The sequence below is a fragment of the Homo sapiens genome, chromosome 15 (genome assembly GCF_000001405.40).
Source record: "Homo sapiens chromosome 15, GRCh38.p14 Primary Assembly".
Lineage (NCBI taxonomy): Eukaryota > Metazoa > Chordata > Mammalia > Primates > Hominidae > Homo > Homo sapiens.
In genome coordinates, this window is record NC_000015.10 from 54,242,446 (window position 1) to 54,269,828 (window position 27,383).

General features: G+C 35.9%; 1 protein-coding gene across 7 annotated transcripts in view; it reads left to right on the top strand.

Annotated features, from left to right (window-relative positions):
- Window positions 1-27,383, top strand: part of UNC13C (unc-13 homolog C) — a 795,839-nt gene that overhangs the window by 404,844 nt on the left and 363,612 nt on the right. For all 7 annotated transcript variants that reach the window (XM_047432538.1, XM_017022220.2, XM_017022221.2 and 4 more), the window contains 3 exons: window positions 7,780-7,999; window positions 21,723-21,950; window positions 22,910-23,051. In XM_047432538.1, coding sequence (XP_047288494.1) covers window positions 7,780-7,999; window positions 21,723-21,950; window positions 22,910-23,051 — 590 coding nt within the window. The remainder of the gene's footprint in view (window positions 1-7,779; window positions 8,000-21,722; window positions 21,951-22,909; window positions 23,052-27,383) is intronic.

Below are 27,383 nucleotides of genomic sequence, written 5' to 3' on the forward strand. Positions count from 1 at the left end.
TATATCATGGTTTATACAAAAATGTGTGCCATTTTATCCTATTATTATTTATGTGTATTTTCTCTCTCTTTTGTAAAATTAAAACTGCAGGAAATTTCTCTGGCTTTGCTTTGTTGACTCCATATTATCTCCTTGTTTTCTATTTCATTTATTTATGCTCTTGTCATTTTTAGATTTTTTTATTCTTTGTTTTCACTCTGAAACTACTTTTCTAAGTTATAGAGTTGAACATATAGTTATTGATTTTAATGGTTCTTATTAACTATTGCATATACACAAAGTAATATTTACAACATAAGTGAATAATAGTAATAATAATAATCTAACCATGTATCCATTTTTGATGCATAAGTACATACTAAAAGTTAGTTAATTTTGTGATTAACAATTTTTCACCACACAATTTTCCATGGTTCCCTGACTGACTTTGATTGGTTACATAAAAGGACAGTTACATGGGATCTATTTATAGGAATGGTCAGCCCCCTCCTCACCTTTGTTTTATAAAATCCGAAACATTCTTCTCTTTTTTTTCCGTCAACTTTTATTTTGAGTTCTGGGATACATGTGCAGGATGTGCTTGTTACACAGGTAAATGTGTGCCATGGTGGTTTGCTGCCCAGATCAACCCATCACCTTGGTATTAAGCCCAGCATCTATTAGCTATTCTTCCTGATGCTCTCCCTCCTCCCACCCCCACCCCGACAGGCCCCATTGTGTGTTATTCCCCGCCGCATGTCCACGTGTTCTCATCCTTCAGCTCCCACTAATAAGTGAGAACATATGGGGCTTGGTTTTCTGTTCCTGTATTAGTTTGCTGAGGATGGTGGCTTCCAGCTCCATCCATGTCCCTACAAAGGACATGATCTAATTCCTTTTTTATGGCTGCATAGTATTTCATGGTGTATATGTAGCACATTTTCTTTATCCAGTCTATCATTGATGGACATTTGGGTTGATTCCATGTCTTTACTATTGTGAACAGTGCTGCAATGAACATCTGCATGCATGTATCTTTACAACAGAATGATTTACATTCCTTTGGGTATATACCCAGTAATGGGATTGCTGGGTCAAGTGGTATTTCTGCCTCTAGATCTTTGAGGAATCTGTCTTCTACTATGATTGAGCTAATTTAATTCCCACCAACAGTGTAAAGCATTCCTTTTTTTCTGCAACCATGCCAGCATCTGTTGTTTTTTGACTTTTTGATAATCACCATTCTGACTGGCATGAGAAAGCATCTAATTGTGGTTTTGATTTGCATTTCTCTAATGATCAGTGATGTTGAGCTTCTTTTCATGTTTTTTTGACTGCATGAATGTCTTCTTTTGAGAAATTTATGTTCAAGTCCTTTGCCCACTTTTTAATGAGATTGTTTATTTTTTTTCTTGTAAATTTGTTTAAGTTCCTTATAGATCTTGGATATTAGACCTTTGTCAGACAGATAGATTGCAAAAATTTTCTTCCATTCTGTAGGTTGCCTGTTCACTCTTATTTTAGTTTCTTTTGCTGCATAGAAGCTATTTAGTTAAATTATATCCCATTTGTCAATTTCTGCTTTTGTTGCAATTGCTTTTGGCGTTTTTGTCATGAAATCTTTGCCCATCACTGTGTCCTGAATGGTACTGCCTAGATTTTCTTCTAGAGTGTTTATAGTTTTGGGGTTTTATATTCAAGTCTTTAATCCATCTTGAGTTAATTTTTGTATATGATGTAAGCAAGTGGTCCACTTTCAGTTTTCTGCATATGGCTAGCCAGTTCTCTAGCACCATTTATTAAATAGGGAATCCTTTCCTCATTGCCTGTTTTTGTCAGGTTTTGTCAGATGGTTGAAGGTGCATGGTCTTGTTTCTTATTTCTCTATTCCATTTCATTAGTCTATGTGTCTGTTCTTATACCAGTACCGTGCTGTTTTGGCTACCGTAGCCTTGTACTATAGTTCGAAGGTGGGTAAGGTGATGCCTACAACTTTGTTATTTTTACTTAGGATTGTCTTGGTTATTCAGGCTCTTTTTGGTTCCATACAAATTTTTAAAAAGTTTCTTCTAATTCTGTGGAAAATATTCATGGTAGTTTAAAGGGAGTGGCATTGAATCTATAAATTACTTTGGGCAGTATGGCCATTTTCACAATATTGATTCTTCCTATCCATGAACATGGAATGTTTTTTGATTTGTTTGTTTCCTCTCTAATTTCCTTGAGCAGTAGTTTGTAGTTCTCCTTGAAGAGGTCTTTCACTTCTTTTGTTAGTTGTATCGCTAGGTATTTTATTCTTTTTGTAGCAATTGTGAATGGGAGTCTGTTCACAATTTGGCTCTCTGCCTACCTGTTGTTTGCGTATAGAGATGCTACTCATTTTTTGCACATTGATTTTGTATCCTCAGACTTTGCTGAATTTGCTTAAAAGCTTACTCTTTTGGACTGAGACATGGAATTTTCTAAATATAGGATTATGTCCTCTGCAAAAATAATTTGACTTCCTCTCTTCCTATTTGAATACACTTTATTTCTTTCTCTTGCCCAATTGCCCTAGCCGGAACTTTCAATACTATGTTGAATAGGAGTGGTAACAGAGGGCATCCTTGTCTTATGCTGGTTTTAGACTCATAAGAATGCAGTCTCCACCCCAAGCAGTAAATCTTAGACTTTCCACATTAAAATGGCTAAAGTTTCCCCCAGTGTAGAAATCCATAGTATTTTTAGTTTCATGTATTTATCAAATTAATTATCTCATACCACTCTCATCACTTGTATACATTTTTATTGAAAGTTTGAATTGGGAAAAAAGAACATTTATAGTGCATAAAATCTATCATATTTTGTTTTCAGATTATGTTCTGTGTCATAACAAAGGGCTTATGTTATATTGTGCTCTCCTTGAATTAAGGAATCATCTACGTTATTGTTCTGCCCTCTTTATTTGGACTCACCCCATAAGTTTCTTAGGACAATGTTAATTTATATCTGTTATAAAGCAATAGAAGTGAAAGAAAACTACTTACATTCTCACATAGATAGGATATAACTTTTAGTCTTTGTTTGTACTTTCTGCTACAAAAAAATCACCTGAATAATTTTAGCTCCTATAGTCAATCAGTTTTATAGGATGATTACTTAGATGAGCAAATCAGCACTGAAATTATGTCTGTTTTTATAGTCAGGATTTTATCCTAGCATTGCTCTGTCTTCATGTTTATAACAAATTTCAAAAAGATCATATTATACCTAATGTTTGGTCTGCAAAAATTCTGATGTTTTTGTCCAGAAAAAATAACACTTATACTTCACCGAAGAGTAGATATATTTTTTTCTGGAAAGCGTACATCAAGTATATGAAAAATGGCTCAAAACAAGAAGCATTTTTTTTTCTTGAAAGTATCAAAATGTGATATTTGGGGGTATAGGAAAGGTGTGGCTTACATAATATCACAAGGAGGATTATTTCCTCCACAGGATGAGGAGGGAAATAGAACTTCATAGGTTAGTCACTGGTTAAAACAGAAAGGAAAAAGGAGAGAAACAATGTGGCAAATGGAGGCAGACAAGCTTTGTTCATGTTATAATTATTAACAGTTGGTAGATTAGAATATTGATGGTCTGAAAACACTAGTCATTGCTCTTGGCAGGTAGCCTGATTCCTTTAAATCTCAGGCTCTTTTTAGTTTCTTCAGGTAGTAATCAATAGAAAAGGCAATTCATTTCCTTCCAGTGTCCTAATTGTTCCAAAAGTGACATATTAGTGCAACTTACTTTAAATTCAATTTTTGGAGAAGAAAGTTCTAACAAAATATTTCTCTAGGGTGTGAGCATCCTCCCCAGTGTAGTCTATATGTTGTGCTTGCCTACAAAGGCTTATCAGAATGTGAAAACATTCCTTACTCATTTCTACAGGTAAACAAGATGTCTATAACAGCAAAAAAAATTGCCTTCTTTTTTGGAATGACTTAAGCAATGTGAAAATAATGTTTTTTTTTTTTTCTAATTGCAAGAGTATTACGTCCTGTCTATACATAAAAAAGAATATGGGAAGGATATGTATCAAATAATGCCTAACTTTAAAAAGCTAAATTGAATATTTTTATTATTTATATCAGTGCCTTTGTGTTTTATAAATTATTTTTACAATGAGCATGCACTTTATTATAATCTTAAAATACATATTTTTTAGAAAATACATTTTTATTGTAGAAGATTTGCAAAGTTGTAGAAGATTTGTAAAGTTTAGAAACATTTAAAATAGACTAGCAGCTGATGAGAACACATGGACACCTAGAGGGGAACAACACACACTGTGGCCTATCGGAGGGTGGGGGTGGGAGGAGGGAAAGCAGCAGGGAGAATAGCTAATGGATGCTGGGCTTAATACCTGGGTGGTGGGATGATCTGTGCAACAAACCACCATGGCACATGTTTACTTATGTAACCTGCGCATCCTGCACATGTACCCTTGTACTTAAAATAAAATTTGGAAATTTAAAAAGTTAAATAGATAAGCAGCAAGTCACTCATTTTGCCAAATCCTGCTGTCCTTGGGTCCTAATTCTATTAATTAGGTTTTGCTTGTTCTAGGAATCTCCATGTGTCTGATTCCAAGTTGTTTACCTAGGCCAGAGACCCTCTCTTGATAACATACTCAGTTCCATCCTTCTCCTTCAGCTCTTATTTACAGCTGATTATTAATCTGCCTGCCCTTAGTGTTACTTTTCTGTTTAATGGCTTTTCATCCCTTCAATCTGATTCCTAATGGTAAACTATAGACTTTCATTTGCTTCCATCAATAGCAAATTTTGGGGTTTCCCCTTATTTTCCCCTGCCATGCTTTTATTTAATGCTTCTCGCTCTTTTCACCTTATTCCACACAAAAACCCACACTTTTTCCCTCTTATAGTCTTATTTCATCTTGCCTGATTTTGCTGCTGAGAAAACATCTTGCTCCAAGATGCATTATCCCCCTGAAATACAAGAATCCTCTATTATGAGATTATTTTTATATGCTTTTCCTACCTATTAATTTCATGTTCCTAAACTATCAACTCAACATATACTTTGCTGAAAAAAGAGTGTTTTCGTATGGCATTTATTTCAGAGTAATTTTCAGCTTTGATAAATACATGCCCATACCCCCGAAAGTCAAGAATGAAAAGGACTCATCATTTCCCTAAAATGATGAGATCTTATTAAAGGGGATATATACCCTCTAGTAGGTTGTCTAATGTTTTAATGTTTTTCTCTAACTTTAATAGCTCTTAAATATTGGGATTTGTTTCAGTGCCCCATTCAATTGCTTTTCAATGGGCTGTCTAGTAAATGTTTCATGTTTTTTTTTTTTATTTTTGGAAATTAGCTTTACTCTCCCTTTACATGAAATGAATTATGGCTCCTTAGCCAAACCAAACAAAACATTTTAATGAAATCTGCTCAGCTGTTTATTCAGAGCTTTTACTTGTTTTCCTGCAGTATGCTTAATTTTTTAGCAGAGTTACTTATTTTTATTACTCCTACTATAATCTATGGACTTAGAGTACTGACTATCACTTGACTTCAGTAAAAGGAAAGTGGACATAGGGAATTAGATCATATATATTAATCATTTACTTAATCTTGAAATATGTGAATAAGTTCATGTTCAAAAACAACCTTATTCCCAACTCTACTTTCTAAATTTATGTAAGGTACATTACTTACTTTTCTTCCTTTCATTAGCAGATTCTGTTTTATTCCCACTCAGTATTCCATGTAATTAGAATATTTTATTATTCTATTTTTATTATTTTATTGCCATTAAAACAAACGAGTTGCCTGATGCAATTGCAAGTATATAAATTAGTTCCCTTCCTAATTTTTCTTCTAGACCACAAATGCTACATTACGCACACAAACACACACACAGCCCCTCAGCCCAGTTAGAACGGGAGACTCTGTCTGTGGGTAGCTAATGAAAAATCTGTTATGCCAAGGATTATTTCATTTATTTTAATGATAGTGAAGATACTCACTATGCTAGATATTAAAGAGGAGGCAAAGGTGAATAATACATGCTTCTAATTCTCAAAGAACTCTTAACAGTTCTTTATAAGACATCTTTATTATGAAATGAAGCCAGGAGATTTACTTGCTTCAGACACTCTTTATTGAGCCAGGAGATTTACTTGCTTCAGACACTCTTTATTGAAAAGTGATGGATCCAGTTTTTCTATCTGAATAAACCCTAATATTAGGATCTTCCACTTGAGTGATGCCCGAATTTGACCATACTGCTGCTCTGTAGACTCACTTGAAGTATAAAGAGCTCTGGATTGTCCAGCCCCTTATCTAATAGCAAGGATGGATCTAGCCATTCAAAATTAGAAACATTTTTACTGAGGCTCCGTTCCCTGGTAGGGGACCTCCTAGTACCATTACCAAACATATTCTGGGAAAACACAGAGTGAGAGGAATGTAGTAATAAAGGGAAATATGCTGTTACCATACTGTGGAATTGAAAGTTAGTCATTTCAACACTGTGGGAAAATATTCTGAAATGAGATTTAAGGATAATTAATTCAAAATATAAATGCTTCCCTTCTAGTATGACTTACCAGCTAGACTCTTCCTACAGGGTTTATGTAAATATCCATTCATTATGCATCAGGCAGTTGTGTGAAATTATCTGTAAATGTAACCTCTAAGAGTGCTGGTCTTTCTCTCAGGAAGTCACCTGCTTTGTGGGATATGAGAAGCATAGAAAAGGACTCATTTAACCAATTCTCTTTTCTATTGGCCTGTGTTTATTGTTGTTGGTGGTTTGTTTTTTTTTTTACATCCAGCATCAATACTAATACTAAGTGCTTATTTGGTGTTTTGAAGCCTGTAGACTACTTCTGTTATCATTATATAATTTGATCTTCAAAGTAATACCATTTTAAGCAGAGCAGAGGAGGAGGGTGAGTCTTAGAGCCCTTACATTTCTCCGTAGATTACAAGATTCATAAGTGGCAGAACGTTTATTCATTAAAAGAAATGTACCTCTACTATGTTCCAGGGACAGTGATAAGCTGTTCAGGCACTAAGAAGAAAAACATGGAAGACAGTTCCTGCTTATAGAGGCCCCTTTTAAATATCATGTAGTTGGGCCTAGGAGAACTCAGATCTCCTACCTACTTGTTCAATAGATTTTTTTTCACCTCACTAATGACTTGTCATTAAAGAGTCCTTCCATATGCTATTAGAAATTATTTCCTTTTAAAATATAAATCACCATGGGAGAGTGCCTCATTTGACCTTATCTACTACTGATGCTTTCTTATGAATTAGGTGATAAGATCCTTCCCCGGTGATAGGTACTGAAAGCAAATTTCCTGCAGATTGAATTACAGAAGTATTCCTTGGGGCTGAGGAGGGGTGAAGTGTCAGGGAGGACAAGGGGGTCAGGAAATAACGGCCTGGGTAGAAAGTAAAAGAGGCGTTGGGTTTACAGCATAGCAGGGACTTAGACATTCTCAACTAATTAGACCTGTGTGCTGCTGGGAAAGAAGCTGCAGACAGTGAAGCCCAGTCCAGTCTGGAAGATTAGGGAGTTCTTTGTGTACAGATAACTGAATAGGGCCCTAAAACATTGAGAGAAGAATAGGTTAGCAGAGTTATTATGCTTACTGTCATCATGACTTGAATCAGTGATCCAGGGGCTCTCTCAAAATACCATTTTCAGAGAAAAGTGATAAAATGGTTTGTTTTATTTTGAAACAATTCAAATCCACTGACTTGGCGGTGCATTGGTAACTTCTCTCATGTTCACAGAAAATGCACGTCTTCAAGAAGACCTTGCAGGCACTGATCTACCCTATGTCTTCTACCATCCCACACAATTTTGAGGTCTGGACGGCTACCACACCCACCTACTGTTATGAGTGTGAAGGGCTCCTGTGGGGCATTGCAAGGCAAGGCATGAAGTGTCTGGAGTGTGGAGTGAAATGCCACGAAAAGTGTCAGGACCTGCTAAACGCTGACTGCTTGCAGAGTGAGTACTTGGTTTGGCTGAAAAAGTGGTATGCAGAGCCTGCCTTATTCCATCTGTTTCATGTTAGATCACTTCAACTCTTGCTGGTTGTCAAGAAATCCTACCCGCTCCCCTCCCACCACTTACACAAAGATACACATACTGTCCATCAAATCACAGTTGATGATGCATTCTTACAGTGTGGAGCTAGGTGCTATTAGAATCCTCAGGGTGAGTACCTGGAGTGAAATTGCACTCTCATCCAGCATAAACCTTCAAAGTGACTTCCTATCTATTTTCTTTTTTGTCTTTTCTTTCTTTCTTTCTTTTTTTTTTTTTTTTTTTTTTTTTGAGATGGAGTCTCACTCTGTCGCCCCAGCTGGGGTGCAGTGGCACGATCTCAACTCACTGCAAGCTCTGCCTCCTGGGTTCACGCCATTCTCCGGCCTCAGCCTCCCAAGTAGCTGGGACTACAGGCACATGCCACCAAGCCTGGCTAATTTTTTGTATTTTTAGTAGAGACGGGGTTTCATCCTGTTAGCCAGGATGGTCTCCATCTCCTGACCTCATGATCTGCCCACCTCAGCCTCCCAAAGTGTTGGGATTACATAGGCGTGAGCCACCGCGCCCGGCCCCTATCTATTTTCTTACTCATACATCATAATAGTTCCATGAGGTAAGTGGGAATATGTAAAATCAGGTTCCCCAAACAGGGATCAAGATATGCTTCTGCATTTACAGCAACTGGAATTCTTTTTTCGAGCCTATCTGGTGCCTGCCTGGCAGGATCCATGTCCTTCTACAGTTCCTGCACAGGCCTTGGAAATGGGATGTCTTGGGTTTGAATGTCAACAACATATGTAACTTACCAGATATGTGACTTTGAGAAAATATTTTAACTTCTTGAGGCTTTATTTTTCTCCACTCTATGGGCAGGAATAACAAAATTTACCTTAGAGGGTTATTGGAAAGGCTAAATGTAATAGTCTCTGCTAAGAGCCTGGCACACGGTAGATGCTCCATAAATATTAATGACCTTTCCATCCTTTCACACTCTTGAATGAGTACATGCCACTTTGGTTTTTATGACAAGTTACCTTAAATTTTTCATTTCCAAAAAAATCCTTTATTTGTTACTTTAGGTCTAGAAATGCTAATGCATCACATTGTAAAATACACATAATTGACTTTTCACTACTTTATTTATTTGGTAGTGTCACTTAAAAATTGCCAAAAAGTTATATTTCAACATGATGTTCATTTGCAAATCATATTTTTTCACATCTAAATATTGTGCCCTCTGTTTGTTGTTTATAGGGATGTAGTCAATGTAAGATATGTGGATTGCTTGACACTGAAGGGAGAAGAGGAAAATGTCAAAGATTAAATTAGAAATGCTGTCACAGCTGACTTGTTGTAGTCACGATCACATACATTCTTAAGTTTTCTCTATCTGATTAGTATTCTCCATACAAGATTAGATCAGATTGAGGCTGTGTTAATGGTAACAAGTGCATTCTTTAAGCAAAAGAAGTGGTATTCTTTATTTGAAAAATAAGAAGTATAGTTAAGAATAATTATTTTAAAGGAAGGGGGATTGACTTGATATTACTCATTTAATTTACATGCAAAATCTCATAATCTGATTAAAATTCAGCCCAACTGTTTAAAAAGTGAATTGCGTATAGGCATCTTAAGAAATAAGCATATTAGGGCAATGACATTTAAGAAAATAGAAAACACACTGTCATCTAAGAACAAATGGCTTAAATTCCTTAGAGAAAAAAATGATGCCACTCATACCTACGAAATGAATTCTTCTTCTAGTCTTTCAGAAAGGACAGATGCTACCCATTCGTTAAACTGTAGAAACATGTTCATAATCTATTTCCATTTCTTAAAACAACATTTATTATTTTATATTTGTTAAATAAATTATGCAATCCAAAATTTTCATTGATGTTATTCATTAAAATGCACACATAAATTGGAAGAATCAAAAATAGTGCAGAACAATGAAGGTGGGTATGCATGCCCCAGGGAGGGTTTTTATAAATCCATTTTTACTTTTTTCCTAAAATTGACACTCTCATATTGATCAGAAAGAGGTCCTACAAGTATGTATACTTAACTTCATAACTTTCCATGATAACTATCAATAAAATTTGAAATTCTCCCTACAGAATCAGTGACATTACCTTAAGAAATTGATCTTCTTCATTGTTTTAAGCCAAAAAAATGGCAATGGTGACACTATATATGAGATAATTTCATGAATGCCAACACTGAAGAAAAGGAAAGAATAAAAAGCTAAGAAAATCAGAGTTAGAAGGTATAGCTAATTCAGCCCCCTTTAAATGTAAGACAGTTCTATGATTTTCTTTATAAAATGGCCATTCAATCTCGTAACATTTCCAGGGAAAATTTCAACCCTTGGTAGGCAGTTTAACTCATGACTTTAGAATGCTAGTTCATAAATTAAAATTTAAGCCAAGGAGTCTTTCCTTGTAATTTCTACCCATTACGCCATATCTTACTTCTGGTGAAAATATTTAATGAATTCTATTAAATATGACAGTTTTTCAAGTACTTAAATTAATTATCTAGTTTTCTATAGGTTTCTAGTACTCTTTATTTTGCTAATTCTTTTCTGAGTAATTACAGTCTATCAACACACACATGCTAAAAGAAATTAAATTCTCTACATGTGGTCTGACCAATGGCCCATGCAAAAGAGAGAGTATGTCAAGTTACTTCAAATTGATTTAAGTTAGGTGTTTCCTTACCATGAAGTCTTGGGTTTGTGACTTGTGCACCTTCAGTCAAGTGGAATTAGACCAGGTGATGGTGAAATCCAACTCACTGCTCCAGTGCTTCCTTGTGGGTTCAGAGATGCATGGAAATGTCCAGTCAATTCCCCAAAGAGCTTCATCTAACACCCTCTCTAGCTAATTGTACTTGATGGTAGTTCATAGATTTTACCACCTTCTTGGCCCAAAACTCATAGACACAGGGTGGTAAGAAGGAGACCAAATGGAAACAGGGAGAACAATGAGAAAAGAGACCTGATTTATACTCCTTCAATAAAATCAGTGGCAGCAGCCAGAGTTCACCTGCTTTTTCTTTAATTAGTTCATTTGCGTCTCGTCGCCTAAAAAGACATTTAGAATTCTTTTTTGGAAAAAGCATTTGGTGGTGAAATAATTTAATTATAATAAATGGAGGAGCAGGTTGTGACCCTGAATTACGTTAACATAACGTGTAAGGAACTTGCTGTAGCACCTCAGTGGTGGTTTTAAACTAGAAAAAGGCCGTGTTGGCTGGGATGAGGGTTGTGTGCAGAGTGAGTCATATGTAAAAGAGACATCATATGTAAAATATTTTCCTTGATTATGTTTTCAGTGTAGAAAAAAGACAGCTACAGAGATTGGAAAAAAATGCAAATAATCATGGCACTTTCCTTACACATCTCCAAAGAAGGAATCCCAGAGTCTTACTGAATAAGCATTCTGCCTACTTTTAATTCCTAACTAGAAATTTCAAGCACCTGCATAAGGCCAGAAAATATTTCACGAAACGCTCAGCAAAGAAGCATTTTGTGAGATGTGTTCTTTAGTTCTACGTGCTTTCTACTGACATTATGTTGAACTTATATGTCCTAAGACAAGCAATTAATAAATTCGTAGCATTAATAAAACCTGTTTAACATACTCTTGTTTGCAAATTAGATATTGATTCTCCTTTCTTTGTTGCCCTGTTATCACATTTTGAAATCACATTTTAAGACAGTCAAATATTTGCATATATTGAGCAACTATTGTGGGTAGGAGTTTTATTCTGGGCTCTCAGAGCTGCAAAGAAAGTAAGTGGTATTTTTCCTGGACTCAACCTTATTTTCTAATACATAACTTAGATGAACAGATGTGAACATGTATCTTGGAAAGTTTTGACATTTTACTCTTTCAATAACAATTTTACAATATATGTTTAAGTAATGAGTACTCAGGAAACTTGGAAGTAGGATTCCTTTTATCCACTGCTACTTAACACACATTTAAGCAAAGGAGCTGCTTAGCAAATGTGGTTAAACTAATGAATGAAGGAACAAGAACTACAACTAGAAATAACCTGTTGTGGTTTAAATATCATCTTTCCATATAGGCATACGCTATTAAAGGAGCTTCGAGATTAGTGAGTTAGGAAACTCAGTCTACTGCTTTGGCTGAGTTCAGAAGATTTAGTGTCTCATCAAAAGGATCAAGCGAATAGCGTAAGCAGGATTAGAACTCAGGTCTCTGAACTCAGCCTGGTGTTCTTTCCTAACTTATAAATAAGTTTGCAAAGTCAATCCTAGGGGGAAGAAAAGGAAAGTTACTGCATTTTATTTTCAGTGCTGTCTCACTTTTTATTATGGGAGAAAGCACATAGGGTACCCCTGAATTTGAGACATTCTATGCTGCCTGCTGTAGCCTCCAAGAGTTCCCCGCCATGATAACTCCTCAGGACCCGCCATCTACAGCCAACCGCCAATAAATCCTCAATGCTCCTGAAATAGGAAAAGTTCCCATGTCCTCCTTGCAGGGCGTGTGATGGGGTGTAGCTCGCTTCTTCAGTGCCCCGCTTCTCAGACTTCTAGGGGAGTATACAGATGGGTAGGGAGCCCCACGGCAGTGTCTAGAGGTGAATGTTTATAGCTGAAGCCCCAGTAGGCATATGTTACAGGGTGCTCTTTAAGTTTAGCTTCCCGTAGGTGGCCTGTGTTAGTCAACTCAATTAGACCCCTCCCTTATCGCAAGGACAGAGGGCTTTCTGTATCCCAGGGTTCTTGCTTTGGTGTACTGGAAGAATTGGATCACAGGTGGGCTTGGAGAATGAGTGCAAGGTTTTATTGAGTGGAAGTAGCTTTCAGCAGATGGGGGAGCCAGAGGAAATGGTTTTCCCTGGAGTCAGGCCGCTTGGAGGCCCAGGCTGTCCTCTGACTGCCCTGGCCAAACTCCACCACGTTCTGTTAGTTGATAGTCTGCCGACGTGACGATTTCTGTCCTGTGCTCTTCCACTCGGCATGCTCCCATTGGTGTCCTCTCAACATCCAGCCACTTGTGTCTTTTTCTACCAATGTGTTCGTCTGGATGTCCAGCCGCCTGTGTGTTCCTCTGCTGATGTGCTCCTCTCCACATCCCGCTGCCTATGTGTTTGCTGGCTAGAGCATTAGGGTTTTTATAGGCACAGGATGGGGGCGTGGCAGGCCAGGGTTTCTTGGGAAATGCAACATTTGGGCAGGAAAACAAAAATGCCTGTCCTCACTTAGGTCCCTGGGCAGAGGCCCAGGCGTGGAGCCCTAGCCAGAGACCAAGCCCTTCCCCTTCAGGCACTTCCCTGACCCCCTTCCATATCGCTACCACCTCTCTCCCAGCATGTTATTGCATTGACTTTTCAACAACACTAAAAGGGAAATGAATGCAATGGTCAGTTCCTTAACCCAAAGGAATAGACTAATAATGGAGCATTTTCAGGTGATGGGGTTGGCTGCTGGAGAGAGACTAAGAGGATGAATATGCTTTGCATAATGCCGTAGAGGTATTCTATATAACATACTCAATGGATATCAATGCATGTTTTTTCATAGTATTGAGCTATTTAAAAATAATCTGACTTCCAGTCTTATTGCAACTATAATGTTTTTAAAACTTCCCTGGGCATCATTTTCCTCATCTGTGAAAACAGTTAATAATACTTGTCAATGACCTCCAGCTAGAGACCACCAGGAACACACCCGTAGTTTTAAAAAGTGTGTTTTATTACTTATTACTGTGAGGGAGAACATACACCAGGATGACTATAGGGCATCTCGGCAAGATCGTGCTAGAAAACAGAGGTGTACTCTGGATGGGGTGTTATGTGGAAGTGAGGACAATTCTACGATATTGTGTCTGTAAACATCTAATCTAGAAGGAAGGCAAAGTAGACTGAAGCCACAGCTTTACAGTAGTCCCACCTTATTCGTGGTTTCACTTTCCAGTTTCAGTCCTCCGCAGTATGGTCCAAAAATATTAAATAGAAAATTCTAGAAATAAACAATGTATAAATTTTAAGTTGCACACCATTTTTAGCAGCATGATGAAATCTGCCATCCTTCTTGGAAGGAAAGTCATCCCTTTGTCAGTGTATCCATGCTATAGATGTTACTCACCCCATAGTCACTTAGTAGCTTTCTTGGTGATCAGATTAAAATAAAATAAAACAATGACAACGACAACAACAACGAAAACACTATACAATAAAGATAGAGTTTGGTACTATCTGCGGTTTCAGGTATTCCTGAAGGCTTTGGAATGCATTCCCTGAGGATAAAAGAGAACAATTATACTTCCTAAAGCAACAACAACCACTCATATTAATTAGGAAAGGGAATATTTGATATTTTGTGGTTTACGCAGTGCTATGTTTTTGTCTATGCTTAGGAAAAATAAGGAAGCGGCCTTGTTTGTCTTACTTTAACACTGTTGCAGGGTGACCACGTCTAAGTTTGGCGCTCTTTGAAATTGTTTACGTCCAAGGAAAGAACAATGTAGCCTAGCTATGAGTACCAGGCCAGCTCTGAACAACACTGTGAACTAGTTGTGTTAGCAAAGTTCCTAGAAGTCAGAGTCTAGTTATGAAAAAATAGAAATAAATCTTGTTTTGAAATTTTTGGTGTTTAATTTTCTTTTGCTTTGTATTTTTTTGAAAAGTATATGAAGAAATTTATGAAACTAAATGTGATACAAAGAAAAATATCTTCCTCCTGCCATCACTCTCTTGGTTTCTTCTCTTTCCTTGCTTAGTAAAAATATTTTGAAAATTGAGCACATTTTGAATCATAATTAATTTGTTCCCCTAAACAATATAGATAGCTTTTGACTCTGTGATGACTGGGCAACCTCTAGAAAATGCTGATGAGATGTAGTACCTTTAACATACTGTTATGCGAGCACATTCCTGATTTTGTATTTTCAAAACATGCTTGTTTTCGAACTTGTTCTAAAAGTATGCATATACCAATAATGAGATGATTGAATATGGTGGGGATGGTACAGGCAGAAGAGAAAAAACAGTTTGGCAGTTTTTTGTAGGCTCTTGGTGCCAGGCTTCCTGACACTGGTCATTTTAGAGAAGGTGGTAGTTCCTTGGGGAGTGGGCTACCTTCTTGTATTTTCCCACTGTCAGTGATAGAGTTACCTACAGGCTCTCACCTACAGGAATGGGAGATGACGCTATGTTAGATCTGTGATCCTCCAATTACCTACTGTTAAATGTCAGTCCTTTGTTGTTTGCGAAAAATAAGGAGTGTGTGGCTTTGATTCTACAAGAAAAAGGAGCCTGCTAACTTGAAGACTGGGGGAGTTGCAGGTCTGTTCCTTGAAAAGACTGAAGGCATGTTAAAAGAGGAGGGTTCGTATTATCTTGGATATAAAACATCTAAAAGAAATGGGTAGGGAATGGCAACTGAATGTCCACCCACATGATTTCATGGGGGCAAAAAGCAGAGAGACAATGAAAGCAGGCCCACCTACATGTTTTTACTGGGAAATAAAAGAAAAGCAGTAAAGACCCATTTCCCATGTCAGAGAGGCTCCTGGAGAAAGAAAGGAATACAAAAATCCCTCAATATCAGACCCTCTGAATGCTTTCAATGGATGTTAACCACCCACTTTCTTTGGGTCCATCAGTCTCAAATGCAGGTAAGGCTTTATGGATGTCAAAAAAATAAATAAGTTATTTTCTCTAGTTTTTTTAAGCTCAAATTTCTTTTATCTTTAAGCCCTTCCTTGGCCCTCATCTAGCAAATAGATATAGAGCATCCAGCATACTGCAGACACCGTCCGCGTGAGAGTTTTCCAGTTGTTTCAGAGGTCAAGTGATTATGCAGCTCAAACCCCTAAAATTTCTTACTAATGTGAAATTATTATTATTTTTTTGAGACAAAGTCCCACTCTGTCTCCCAGGTTGGAGTACAGTGGCACAATCTCGGCTCAGTGCAACCTTCACCTGCCGGGTTCAAGCCATTCTCCTGCCTCAGCTTCCCAAGTAGCTGGGACTACAGATGTGCACCACCACATCCGGCTAATTTTTTTGTATTTTTTTTAGTAGAGATGGAGTTCCACCATGTTGGCCAGGCTGGTTACGAACTCCTGACCTCAAGTGATCTGCCTGCCTCGGCCTCCAAAAGTGCTGGGATTACAGATGTGAGCCACCACTCCTGGCCTGAAGTTCTTTAATAAATACCTATATCTTCACCTTTTTGACATGCTGAAATCACTATACTTATTCCATTACTATTATTAAAGCTATATGTGTTATCTCATTGAATCCTCATACTGTTAAGGGAGACACTACTACTATTCCTATCTGTTTTTCAGATGAAGAAGCTAAAGTTGAGAGAGATAAACTAACAAGCTCAAGACTAAAAGGTTAGGATCTTAGTCTGTTTCAGCTGCATAAGAAAGTACCATAAATTGGGGGGCTTATAAACAACATAAATTTATTACCCACAGTTCTGAAGGTAGAAAGCCCAAGATGAGGGTTTCAGCACAGTCAGGGCCCATGGAGGGCGATCTTCCAGGTTGCAGACTACTGACTTCCTGCTGCATCTTCACATAGTAGAAGGGGCAAGTGAGCTCCCTTGAGCCTATAAGGCCACTAATCCCATTCTTGAGGGCTCTGCTTTCATGATCTAGCTACTTCCCAAAGGCCTCATCTTTTAACATTATCACATCGGAGATTAGGTTTCAATATATGACTTTCAATGGGATGCAAACATTCAGACTACGCCAGTTAGTTAAGTGGCAGATCAGGATTCACTCAAGATTTTCTCCTCTACCCAAGTGTATTAGTACATTTTCAGGCTGCTGATAAAGACATACCCAAGACAGGGTAATTTATAAAGAAAAGAGGTTTAATGGACTCACAATTCCACATGGCTGGTGAGGCCTAACAGTCATGGCGGAAGGCGAAAGGCATGTCTTACATGGCATCAGGCCAAGAAAAAGAATAAGAAGCAAATGAAAGGGGTTTCCCCTTATAAAACCATCAGATCTCATGAGACTTATTCACTACCATGAGAACAGTGTGGGGCAACTGCTGCCATGATTCAATTATCTCCCACCAGGTACCTCCCACAATACGTGGGAATTATGGGAGCTACAATTCAAGATCAGATTTGGGCGAGGACACAGCTAAACCATATCACTGAAGCATTGATAGGTACTGTGCACTTTTACCTTATTTAAAAGTGATACTCTTTATATATTTCTTCCATTTATAGTTGGCATTCATGTTCTTGCTTTATGCTGACTATGTAAGTGCACGTGGCATGTAGGTTAACCAAATTCTGTTATCTAATGATGGGAATACAGCCTCTGTTTTCAAAGAATTGCAAATCCAAACCCAAGGGCCAGGTGTATTTTGTCTTTTCATAAGATTTATTCCACAGGATATTTATCATTTTATATTCAATTTATTCCTGTGGTTTTTTTTTTCCAGAATTGTGGCCTTAGGGCAGGAGTTTGCAAGAATTTCATAACACATTAAATTAACCCAGAGCCAAAGTAAATATCCAATTATGCCAATCATTTTATCTTCGGCTCCCCCAAGAAGTATTTCCTCTATTTATTGAGTGTATGCTAGTTTCCAAACAGTGTGTGAGACACTTGGAATACACATTTAATAAAATTTGGGCCTTAAGAGGTAGCATAAGGAATGGACATATATGCAGGTAGCTATGTCAATGGTGATTGTTAAATATGAAAGAATTTTGTGAGGCATTTGCTTGGAATCAGCTGTTAGAAATATTTACACCACAGAAATCTGCTAATACTACAAATCAGGTTTGGGTTTTTTTGTTTGTTTCTGTAGGAGAGGAGAGAAAATGTGACTGTTGAGTTTAAAAGACCTCTATTTCCTGTTGAGATAAGATCATATGCTGAGAATGGAGGGTAATGGAGGTGAGGTAGGTGACTTTAGAGTAGAAATGTTTTGGAAGAGCTGTTGAGAAAAATAGCAAAAGGAAAGAACTGAGAAGAAGGAAGAACACTGAAGTTATTATATACATATCTATGTGTATACATAGATATGTATACATATATTCTATATATAATAAACACACATATATGTATATGTATGTATATTATGTATATATGTGTGTATGTATATGTATATACATACACACACCTGTAGTTTTCAGTTTTTATATATATAACTTTATATATGTATGTTTTATATATAAAGAAGTTATATATAGTCATATAATCAAAATATATATATAACTTTATATATGTTTTATATATAAAGTTACGTATATAACAACTTCAATATTCTTCCTTCTATTTTTAGATTATATCTATAAATTCTATAATTATTTGTAGATACTATCTATAGATACTTCTTCAGAAAAAAAACACAAAAATTGTAAATTGCCATATAAAGATGGTAAAATTGTTAATTTCACCTGAAGTTTAGATGTTTTGTCTGATAAAAATTAAAGAAAAATGAGTTCTAGTTAATTGTCCCATTAAATTACGTAGAAGAGAACCAGTTTGCCCCTCTGTCTAAGGTTGAATTATGGTTGTGTTGTCCATAATTATATTGTCTTATCTGTCAAGTAATTATTTTTAAAAGTATCAATGATGCATTTCATTTGGATATTATACTCTATAAAGTGCTTTTAGTTTACATTATCTCTTTTGATCTCATCAATTGTTGATCTCTGGTTGGCATATTACTGTATTTCAATGACACTGCTAGACCTTCTACCACACGCTTTGAAGAAAGACTCATGTAAAAGCAAATTTAAAGTTATCTCTGATGACTTTTAGATAAACAAATAAGCCTGAAGAAAAATAACCCAAAGGGCTGGAAATTCATGGCAAATTGTAACTATTTAAGAAAGAGTTTCATTAGAAACATAAGATATGTGGGTTTGATAAAGCATAGGGCAATGGAAAGTACTTGTAAATCAGTGACAAAAATTTATTATGAATTTGTCTCTATCTCTGAGCTAAACAATCTAAGATGAATAATTTTCTTCTGATCAAAAATGCAAAAGTAGAAATTTTTGTTTGTTTGTTTTGTTTTGTTTTGTTTTGTTTTGTTTTGTTTTGAGACGGAGTCTCGCTCTGTCGCCCAGGCTGCGGTGCAGTGGCGCCATCTGGGCTCACTGCAAGCTCCGCCTCCCAGATTCACGCCATTCTCCTGCCTCAGCCTCTCGAGGTAGCTGGGACTACAGGCGCCCACCACTACGCCTGGCTAATTTTTTTGTATTTTTAGTAGAGACAGAGTTTCACCATGTTAGCCAGATGGTCACAATCTCCTGACCTTGTGATCTGCTGGCCTCGGCCTCCCAAAGTGCTGGGATTACAGGCTTGAGCCACCGCGCCCGGCCATAAGTAGAAATTTTTAAAAGCTACATATTTTTTTTCTAGAAATAACAGAGAAAATGCTTAAACATATGTCTCTATTAACCTGCTGTCCACCGATTGGCAATTTCAGTTTATTGCTCTTGTCTGTACATATTAGAATAGATATTCTATAATAACAGCAATAATACATAAGAATAAGTGAAATTTGAAAGCTAATGCTCAAGCTTTCCTAATTATTTTTTTAATAACAAGAGGCAGTCGTTAAGGACAGAAGTCTGATTCCTTTAGATGAAAAATCTCTTTATATTCTAGCTTTGAATTTGGCAGCTATTGTTTGAGCATTTATTGTGTGCATGGTAGTTAGATGGGCTCTTCCTGAATTTAGAAAAATAATCCAAAGTATATTTAACTCTCCATGACTTTAGCACTCCTTCCTAGAGCCTTTGAGAGCATTAATAGCAAAAATAAGAATAGCTGTTTGGAAATTTGGGAGAGAGTCAACATTTTTATGACATTTCTAACCTTTAGGACATTCCTTGCCTGGCTGTCACAGACCAAACTTTTGAGTCACTTTGTGTCTTGCAGGGAACATTTTCCAGTCACCACTGTCCTTTCCATTTAGTGAATATTAACTACTTGAATAAAATATGCCTATCAGATAGTTTCAACTATTTACTCCAGCCTAAGCTAATTTTACTATTTAAGAATTATGGACTGTGTAAACCAATATTGATAAATTAAAAACATATTAATTGCATGCAATTTACAAATTTGTAGCTATTCTAGGGACATGTTTCAACAGTGTAGACCATTTACAATGTCCTTTTAAATCATCTTTAGTGGAATTCATTCTTTTTTTTGTCTTCCTTTTTTTTAAATGTCGTTTAGGTCCTCAAAGTTTAAAATAAAAGATAAAGACAGGTAGACTGCTCTTTCTACCACTGGAATATTCATATCTTTTAGCTTCCTCTATTCACACTCATTATTAGGAATATATTTTTCCACTCTAGGAAACAGGTATTACACTTTCAAATAAATGAACATTTACATTAAATTATTGCTGTCAAATTGTATATGAATTTATCATAAGTAAAGTTAATAGTTGACCTTTCATCTCTTGTCTTACTTTCTATACTTAAATTGGGCTCAACATTCACAAATTAGGTTCAAAGAACATTACTGATATTATCTTTTATTGTAGAAATTGTGCTTGCCTATAAATTATCCCATTTAATCTCTAAATAGTTTATGAGATATTAGTATGCCTATCTCAGAAATATAATAGTTCAGAAAAAAATGAGAATACAAATTAGGCAAACTTACAGTCATGTCAAAGAAAATTAGAGCAATTACTACCTATGAACACAAGTCTTTCGATTATTTTCACTGTATTTCAGTTGCTTCTGTACCAAAAAAAGTTTGATTTTAGCAGTGGCAGTTCCTGTAGACACTGGTACATGACCTTTTGCTTTCTTACTTTAAACTCACTAAGGAATTGTGGAAATTGAAATCATGGTCCGTTATTAACTTGTGTAATACTGGGCAACCCAGAAGGCCATACAGAACAATAAGACTATCTAGCCAGTAGCTTAAGGTTAGGGATCCAATAATGGAATTTTAGAAATCTCTCACTGACAGAATGATTTGTGTTACAAACAAAAATGCCCAGAAAGTTGAGACCAGTCATGAAAAACAATGTCCCAGAAATAAAAAAAGTTTTTAGTGGAAAATGAGTATTCAGTCATTTAAAAGCTCTGGATATATTAGAGAAAGAGAGTTCGAGTCGGTGTTCTATCAGTTACATTATAGGTCATTTAGTCTAGTAGTGTCCAAATCTTCTTTAAACAGCTCAATCATTTTCTTCCCAAGTAAAATCTTACATTCTATTTTAATGTTTAGCAAATAACAGTGATGTGTTTGAATTATTGCTTTCCAAGTGACATTTGCCACTTATATTCTATCTATTTCTCAATTTTATTTTGGATACCCATTGAAGAAATATGTGTGGTATGTAACACATTTGATTGTGTCTGTTCTGTTTGCTGCTTTTGAATTCTTTTTAGAAAATTTAAACCAAATTTTTGCACAACACCTAATTTAGTTCAGTAATACAAAAGAAAAGCCTGGGAATCATAGGAGGTCAATTTACCTGCCAATAACACAAAGGAGTACTAGTTGTTGTGAATCTCAGCATAGCAGTTCATTATGATATTTTTCTAAAAAGCCACCTGACTCCACAGAATGAAAGCACTCATTCATTCTCACTTCCTCCTCCTTTTCCTCCCTCCTTTAGCCATCAAAAAGTAATGGCATTTCCATTCACATCACCATTGATGTTTCCATCATAGGAGCAGCAGAAAAGAGTTCTAAACATGGTGCCGAAGACAAGACTCAGACCATTATTACAGCAATGAAAGAAAGAATGAAGATCAGGGAGAAAAACCGGCCAGAAGTATTTGAAGTAATCCAGGAAATGTTTCAGATTTCTAAAGAAGATTTTGTGCAGTTTACAAAGGCGGCCAAACAGAGTGTACTGGATGGGACATCTAAGTGGTCTGCAAAAATAACCATTACAGGTAAAAATAAGTCTTCTTAAAAATTTGTATTGTAAATTGAGATTTTTATGTGCCCTAGAAATAACTGCTAATAATAATTATAGGTAAAATAAATGGTTATTTTTTGAATCATGTTAATATGAACAAGACTAGTTGGTACTTCACATTTTGAAAATACATACTAGATAAGTGAAATAATTTTAGTCTGTGTCTTGTTCTAATCAAAATTTCTTTCATAGGAAAAAGTTTCTGTTTTTCAATATATTCACCTGCAGTGTACAAGAAATGAGCATTTTTGTTGCCTACCAGTGATAAATTATAACAGTAGCTAATAATCTGTTCAGTTAATCTTTTTAAATGAGAAAAGCGATGTTATTTTACTTACTCCTGGCTCAACATCCCTCATCCATTTGGTCCTCGAGTCAGGACAATTTGAGTTTAATGATATCTAGTAAATTGGACTTCTGAAGTTGCTTGTAATGTCAACAGCGAGTGACTGTGCAGCCTGTTAACATTTACCAAGACTCTTCACTTACTCATTTTGTATTTACAAGATAAAGAAAGATGCTTTCTCAACTATGTAGAGTTGATCAATATTGACGGCAGACTCATAAATAAATCAGTTTGGATTACAGGCCTTTGAATTATGTTGGGTAATTTTTCATATAAGTGTAGGTGTATCTTCCTCATTCCTCTGTACATGTATGCAGTAATGTGTATGAGTATATAGCTAATATGTATATGCATGTGTATGTATATAGCTACTTTTCATTAAAGACAAGGGCAAAAATTACAGATTTTAATGTTGTATATTTATTTTTATTAAATTTTTTTAAAGTTCTGTGAGTCATGAGAATGAAAGCAATGGGGATGCATCTATAAGCCCAAAGAACCAAATGACAGAAAAATTGTCTTTGTTATTATTATTTTTTGTTTCTGAGGACTCTGTATGTTAAAATGTTTATTTTGGTTTATTTCAGTGGTTTCTGCACAGGGTCTACAGGCAAAAGATAAAACAGGGTCTAGTGATCCATATGTTACAGTTCAAGTTGGAAAGAACAAAAGAAGAACAAAAACCATTTTTGGAAATTTGAATCCAGTATGGGATGAGAAGTTTTATTTGTGAGTATATAATGTGAAACCTTTACAAATATTAAATTATTTAACAATGAATTTAAGACAGGCATACAAAGGATGCAATAATTATCTCATTTTTTAATAATCTCTTACCCAAAAGTAATAAAAAAGTAAAAGTAATGTTATAAACTCCTTCAATACTCTCATAATATTTATTATTTATCCTTCATCTTTGGAAGCAAGTGAATAAGAAGAATACTTCAAATCAAAAAAAGATGGCATGACTGGGGTGGCTTTGCAGGAGATAAAAAAAGATACACAACATGATCTATAACTTGCGATGACCCAACATAGCCAGAAATGTAATCTTGATTTAACAGTATCTTGACATCTGAAGATTTATATCTAAAGCCAGTAGACTTAGAGCATCTCCTGGCCCATCACTTGGGGTGGAACCATATCTACATTAGCTTATACTATTGAGATGGTTGATGATAACTGTTATAACCTTGCACATTCCACGAGGGCATTTATTTTTAAACCTCTTACATCTTTTACTGAAAAGCAGAAACTCATTTTTCTCTCAAAAGTTCTTTTTTTTAACACTCCTTTGTAAAAAAATGAATTTCAGTTGTTATTTGGTAGAAGTAAAAATTCCTACATGAGTTAAAGACAGTCTTTTTTCTTTAGTTCTCTCTTTGCAAATGCTTTAAACAGGAATCTCATTACCATGGTAGGTAAATACACCCAGAACATATAGCTTATTTGGGAATGTGGGCAATATTGTGTAAGAAGTAGAGTTTCTTGCATATATGGCCTGATGAAGGAAGTCTTAAGAAATAGGTTTGGAAAATCAATTGGAACCAAATAACAGAGGGTACTGTAGAATGAACTAAGGGATTTGGAGGATTTCTCCCTTCAGAGTTCTGGGAGAGATTAGTATCCCTTTACGTGTTAAAATAGAAGACAAGAAATCAATTGGAAGTTAAAATTAAATTTCCTGTTGGAGTCACGTAAATGAATATAGCAGGAAAGGAACAACAAAGGGGAGGGATGAAGACTATGGAAAACTGGAAAACAGGTGATTCCCAGAAAAGAAATGGCTTCCGTTGCCATGCGATCATGTAGACAAGATGCAGCTAGAGCTTCCAGTTTTTCAGGAAGCTGGATATCTGAAACCTTAGAAACAGTTTTATTGAGGTGTAATTGACATTACATAAAATCTACACATTTAAAGTGTACATTTTGTTAAGTTTTGACATATGTGTACCTCCTGTCACTACAGACAAGATAATGAACATATCCATCAGTGCCCCAAAATATTCTTTATGCCTCATGGAAAGTCATCCCTTCTGACTTCCCGTGTGCAAAGGCAGTCTCTGGTTTGCTTTCTGATGCTATAGGATACTTTTCATTTTGCATTTTCTAGAATTTCCTATAACTAGAACAATATGGCATGTAATGCTTTGTGTGGTTCTATTCATTCAACGTAATTATTTTGAGATCCATCCAAATTGTAGGGTATGTCAATAGCTTATTTCTATTGCTTGTTAGCATTCCATTTTATTAATATATCACAGTTTATTTTACTATTCACCTCTTGATGGATATTTTGGTTTGTTTCCAGTTTTTGGTTAATGACAACAGAGTGACCCATATGTTAAATGAATGACTCATGCTAAAACTGACATTTGTATGTAAATATTTGTGTGGACATATGTTTTTATTTCTCTTGAATAAATACCTAGAAGTGGAATGAATAGCTGAATCACGTATTCGGAATATGTTTATTCCGAATTAATTTAGGAATTGATTCATCTTTTTTTAACAAAACAAAACAAAACAAAAAAACCCTGATGGAATTTTGGTTGCTTTAAAGCACTGGCTAAGATTTCCAGTATGATGCCAAATCAGAGGTAAGAGCAGACATCTTAGTCTCATTCCCAATCTCAAGTGGAAAACTTCATTTCTTGATTAACTATGGTATTAGCTGTAGCTTTGTTGTAGATGCCATTTATCCAGTTAAAAAGTGATTTTTCTATTCTCAGTGAACTGAGAGTTTTGACCAGAAATAGATGTTGCATTTTGTTACATTCTATTTCTGTATCTATTGAGATGATCATATGATTCTGACTGTCATTTTAATTTTTTTTTGCTTTTTCAATAACAAATCTGCAGTTGTCCACATTTTTGCTTCTCTGTGTATAACATATCTCCCCTACTCCTCCAACTGCTTTTAAAATATTTTTTCAACTCATTTGTACAATTGGTTTATGATTTCACATGGTGTAATATTCTTCCTTTTTCTAGTGTTTAGGGTTTGTTTAGCTGTTTGGGACTGTGGGTCTACAGTTTTCTTTCAAATTTGGAAACATTTGGTCATTATTTCTTTAAATATTCATTCTGCTGTCTGTTTGGAGGCTCTACTTGAATACATATTAGGCCTCCTGAAGTTGCCTCATAGCTCCTTGACACTCTGAGGACTTTTCTTTCTTTCTTTTTTTTTAAATTTTACTTTAAGTTCTGGGATACATGTGCAGAAAGTGCAGGTTTGTTACATAGGTATACATGTTCCATGGTGGTTTGCTGCACCTATCAACCCATCATCTAGGTTTTAAGCCCAGCATGCATTAGGTATTTGTCCTAATGCTCTCCCTCCACTTGCGCCCCACCCCCCAACTTTACTTAATTTTTTTTTTCTTATTTTTTTCTTCTGTATTTCACTTTGGATTGCTTCCATTGTGTGTGTTTAAATTCACTAAGCTTTGCTTCTGTAATGTCTAACCTGCTAAAATCTAAGCCACTGTAATTTTCATATTAGGCATTTTCTTTTCCATCCTAGGAAATCCTAACTGGGTCTTTGCATCTTCCATGCCTCAACTTAAATTTTTGAAAACATGCAGTATTTATGATAACTGTTTTGATGTCCTTCCCTACCAATTCTAACATCTATGTCCAATCTTGGTCACTTTTGATTGATGGATTTTTCTCCTCATTATGCATTACATTTTTCTGCTACTTTGCTTGCCTGGTAATTTTAGCTTGAATTGCAGACATTGCAAATGTTACTTTGTTGCTTGCTGGATATCGTAGCATCCTATAGGTATTATTGAGCTTAGTTCTGGACATACTTAAGTTACATGGAAATATTTTTGTGCTTTGGATCTTGCTTTTCAAATGTGTTAAATGGGAATGAAATAGTGCTCAATTTCAGGCTAATTATTCCCCATATAATGAAGGCAAGACTCTTCAGCATACTCTTCCTACTAACTCATGAATTAGGAGGTTTTGTCTTCTGCCCAGTAGAAATTAGTATGATTTCTAGGACTGGCTGTGTGTTGGGCACTATTGCATCAAACTTTTAAATCTTAATCTGGCCTTGGGCAGTTTCTTTATGTGCATGCACTTATCATTACTCAACTCATTTCTCAAGGGGACCCCTGTGCAGATTGTTGAAATCTTCCTTCTGTTCAGCTCTTTTATTTTTGATATTATGCCCTGTGACCTCTAGCTGCCTTGGTCTTCCCCAACTTTCAATTCTGTCTTTCAACTCAAAGAGTCTAATGGACTCTACCTTGGTTTCTTTTTTTTTTTAATTTTTTATTTTATTTTATTATTATTATACTTTAAGTTTTAGAGTACATGTGCACAACGTGCAGCAAACTATCTACCTTGGTTTCTATTCCTTGCACAATGATTGGAAAACTCCCTCAAGGCAATAAGCTGAAGTAATCATAGGGCTCACTTTCTTTCTTTCTTTGTTTTTCTCTCTCTCAGGGATCACTGTTCATCACTGACATATCTCCATTATATTGAAAACCACTCTTTGATATATTTTGCTCACTGCTTGATTTTTTTATGTGGGAGGGTATCTCTGGTCCCTGTTAATCCCTCTTGACTAGAATAGAAAGTCTGGAAACCTGAATTTGATTGATAAGCCAAAAACAAAATAAAACAGTATGAGAGCCAACATAGGGCATGTCAAAGAGAATAAAATTTCTAGAAATATTGATCCAGTTGTAATCAGTAAAATAAAATAGAAATATTTATTGTATTATTTTAATCCTTCAAAGGGTCCTCCTTGAGAAATCAACTGAGTAATGATAAGTGCAGCCAAATAATGATGCATGTGATAAAACTACCTAGGACCACCCAAGTACTTGATGTGACAATTCGCAGTGCTCATCCAGACCAGGGCTAGTGCTTGTTCCCACCAGACTGGCTAAAATGCATCATAGTTCATGGGGAAAGTACACAGAAGTACACACCGGAATGGACCATTAAACTATGAATTATCTGTATTATTATTGGCAGTTTTCATATAATTTTCCATGTTGTGTGCCTGGTTTCCTTTTGATAGGAGGCTCTATCTGTACT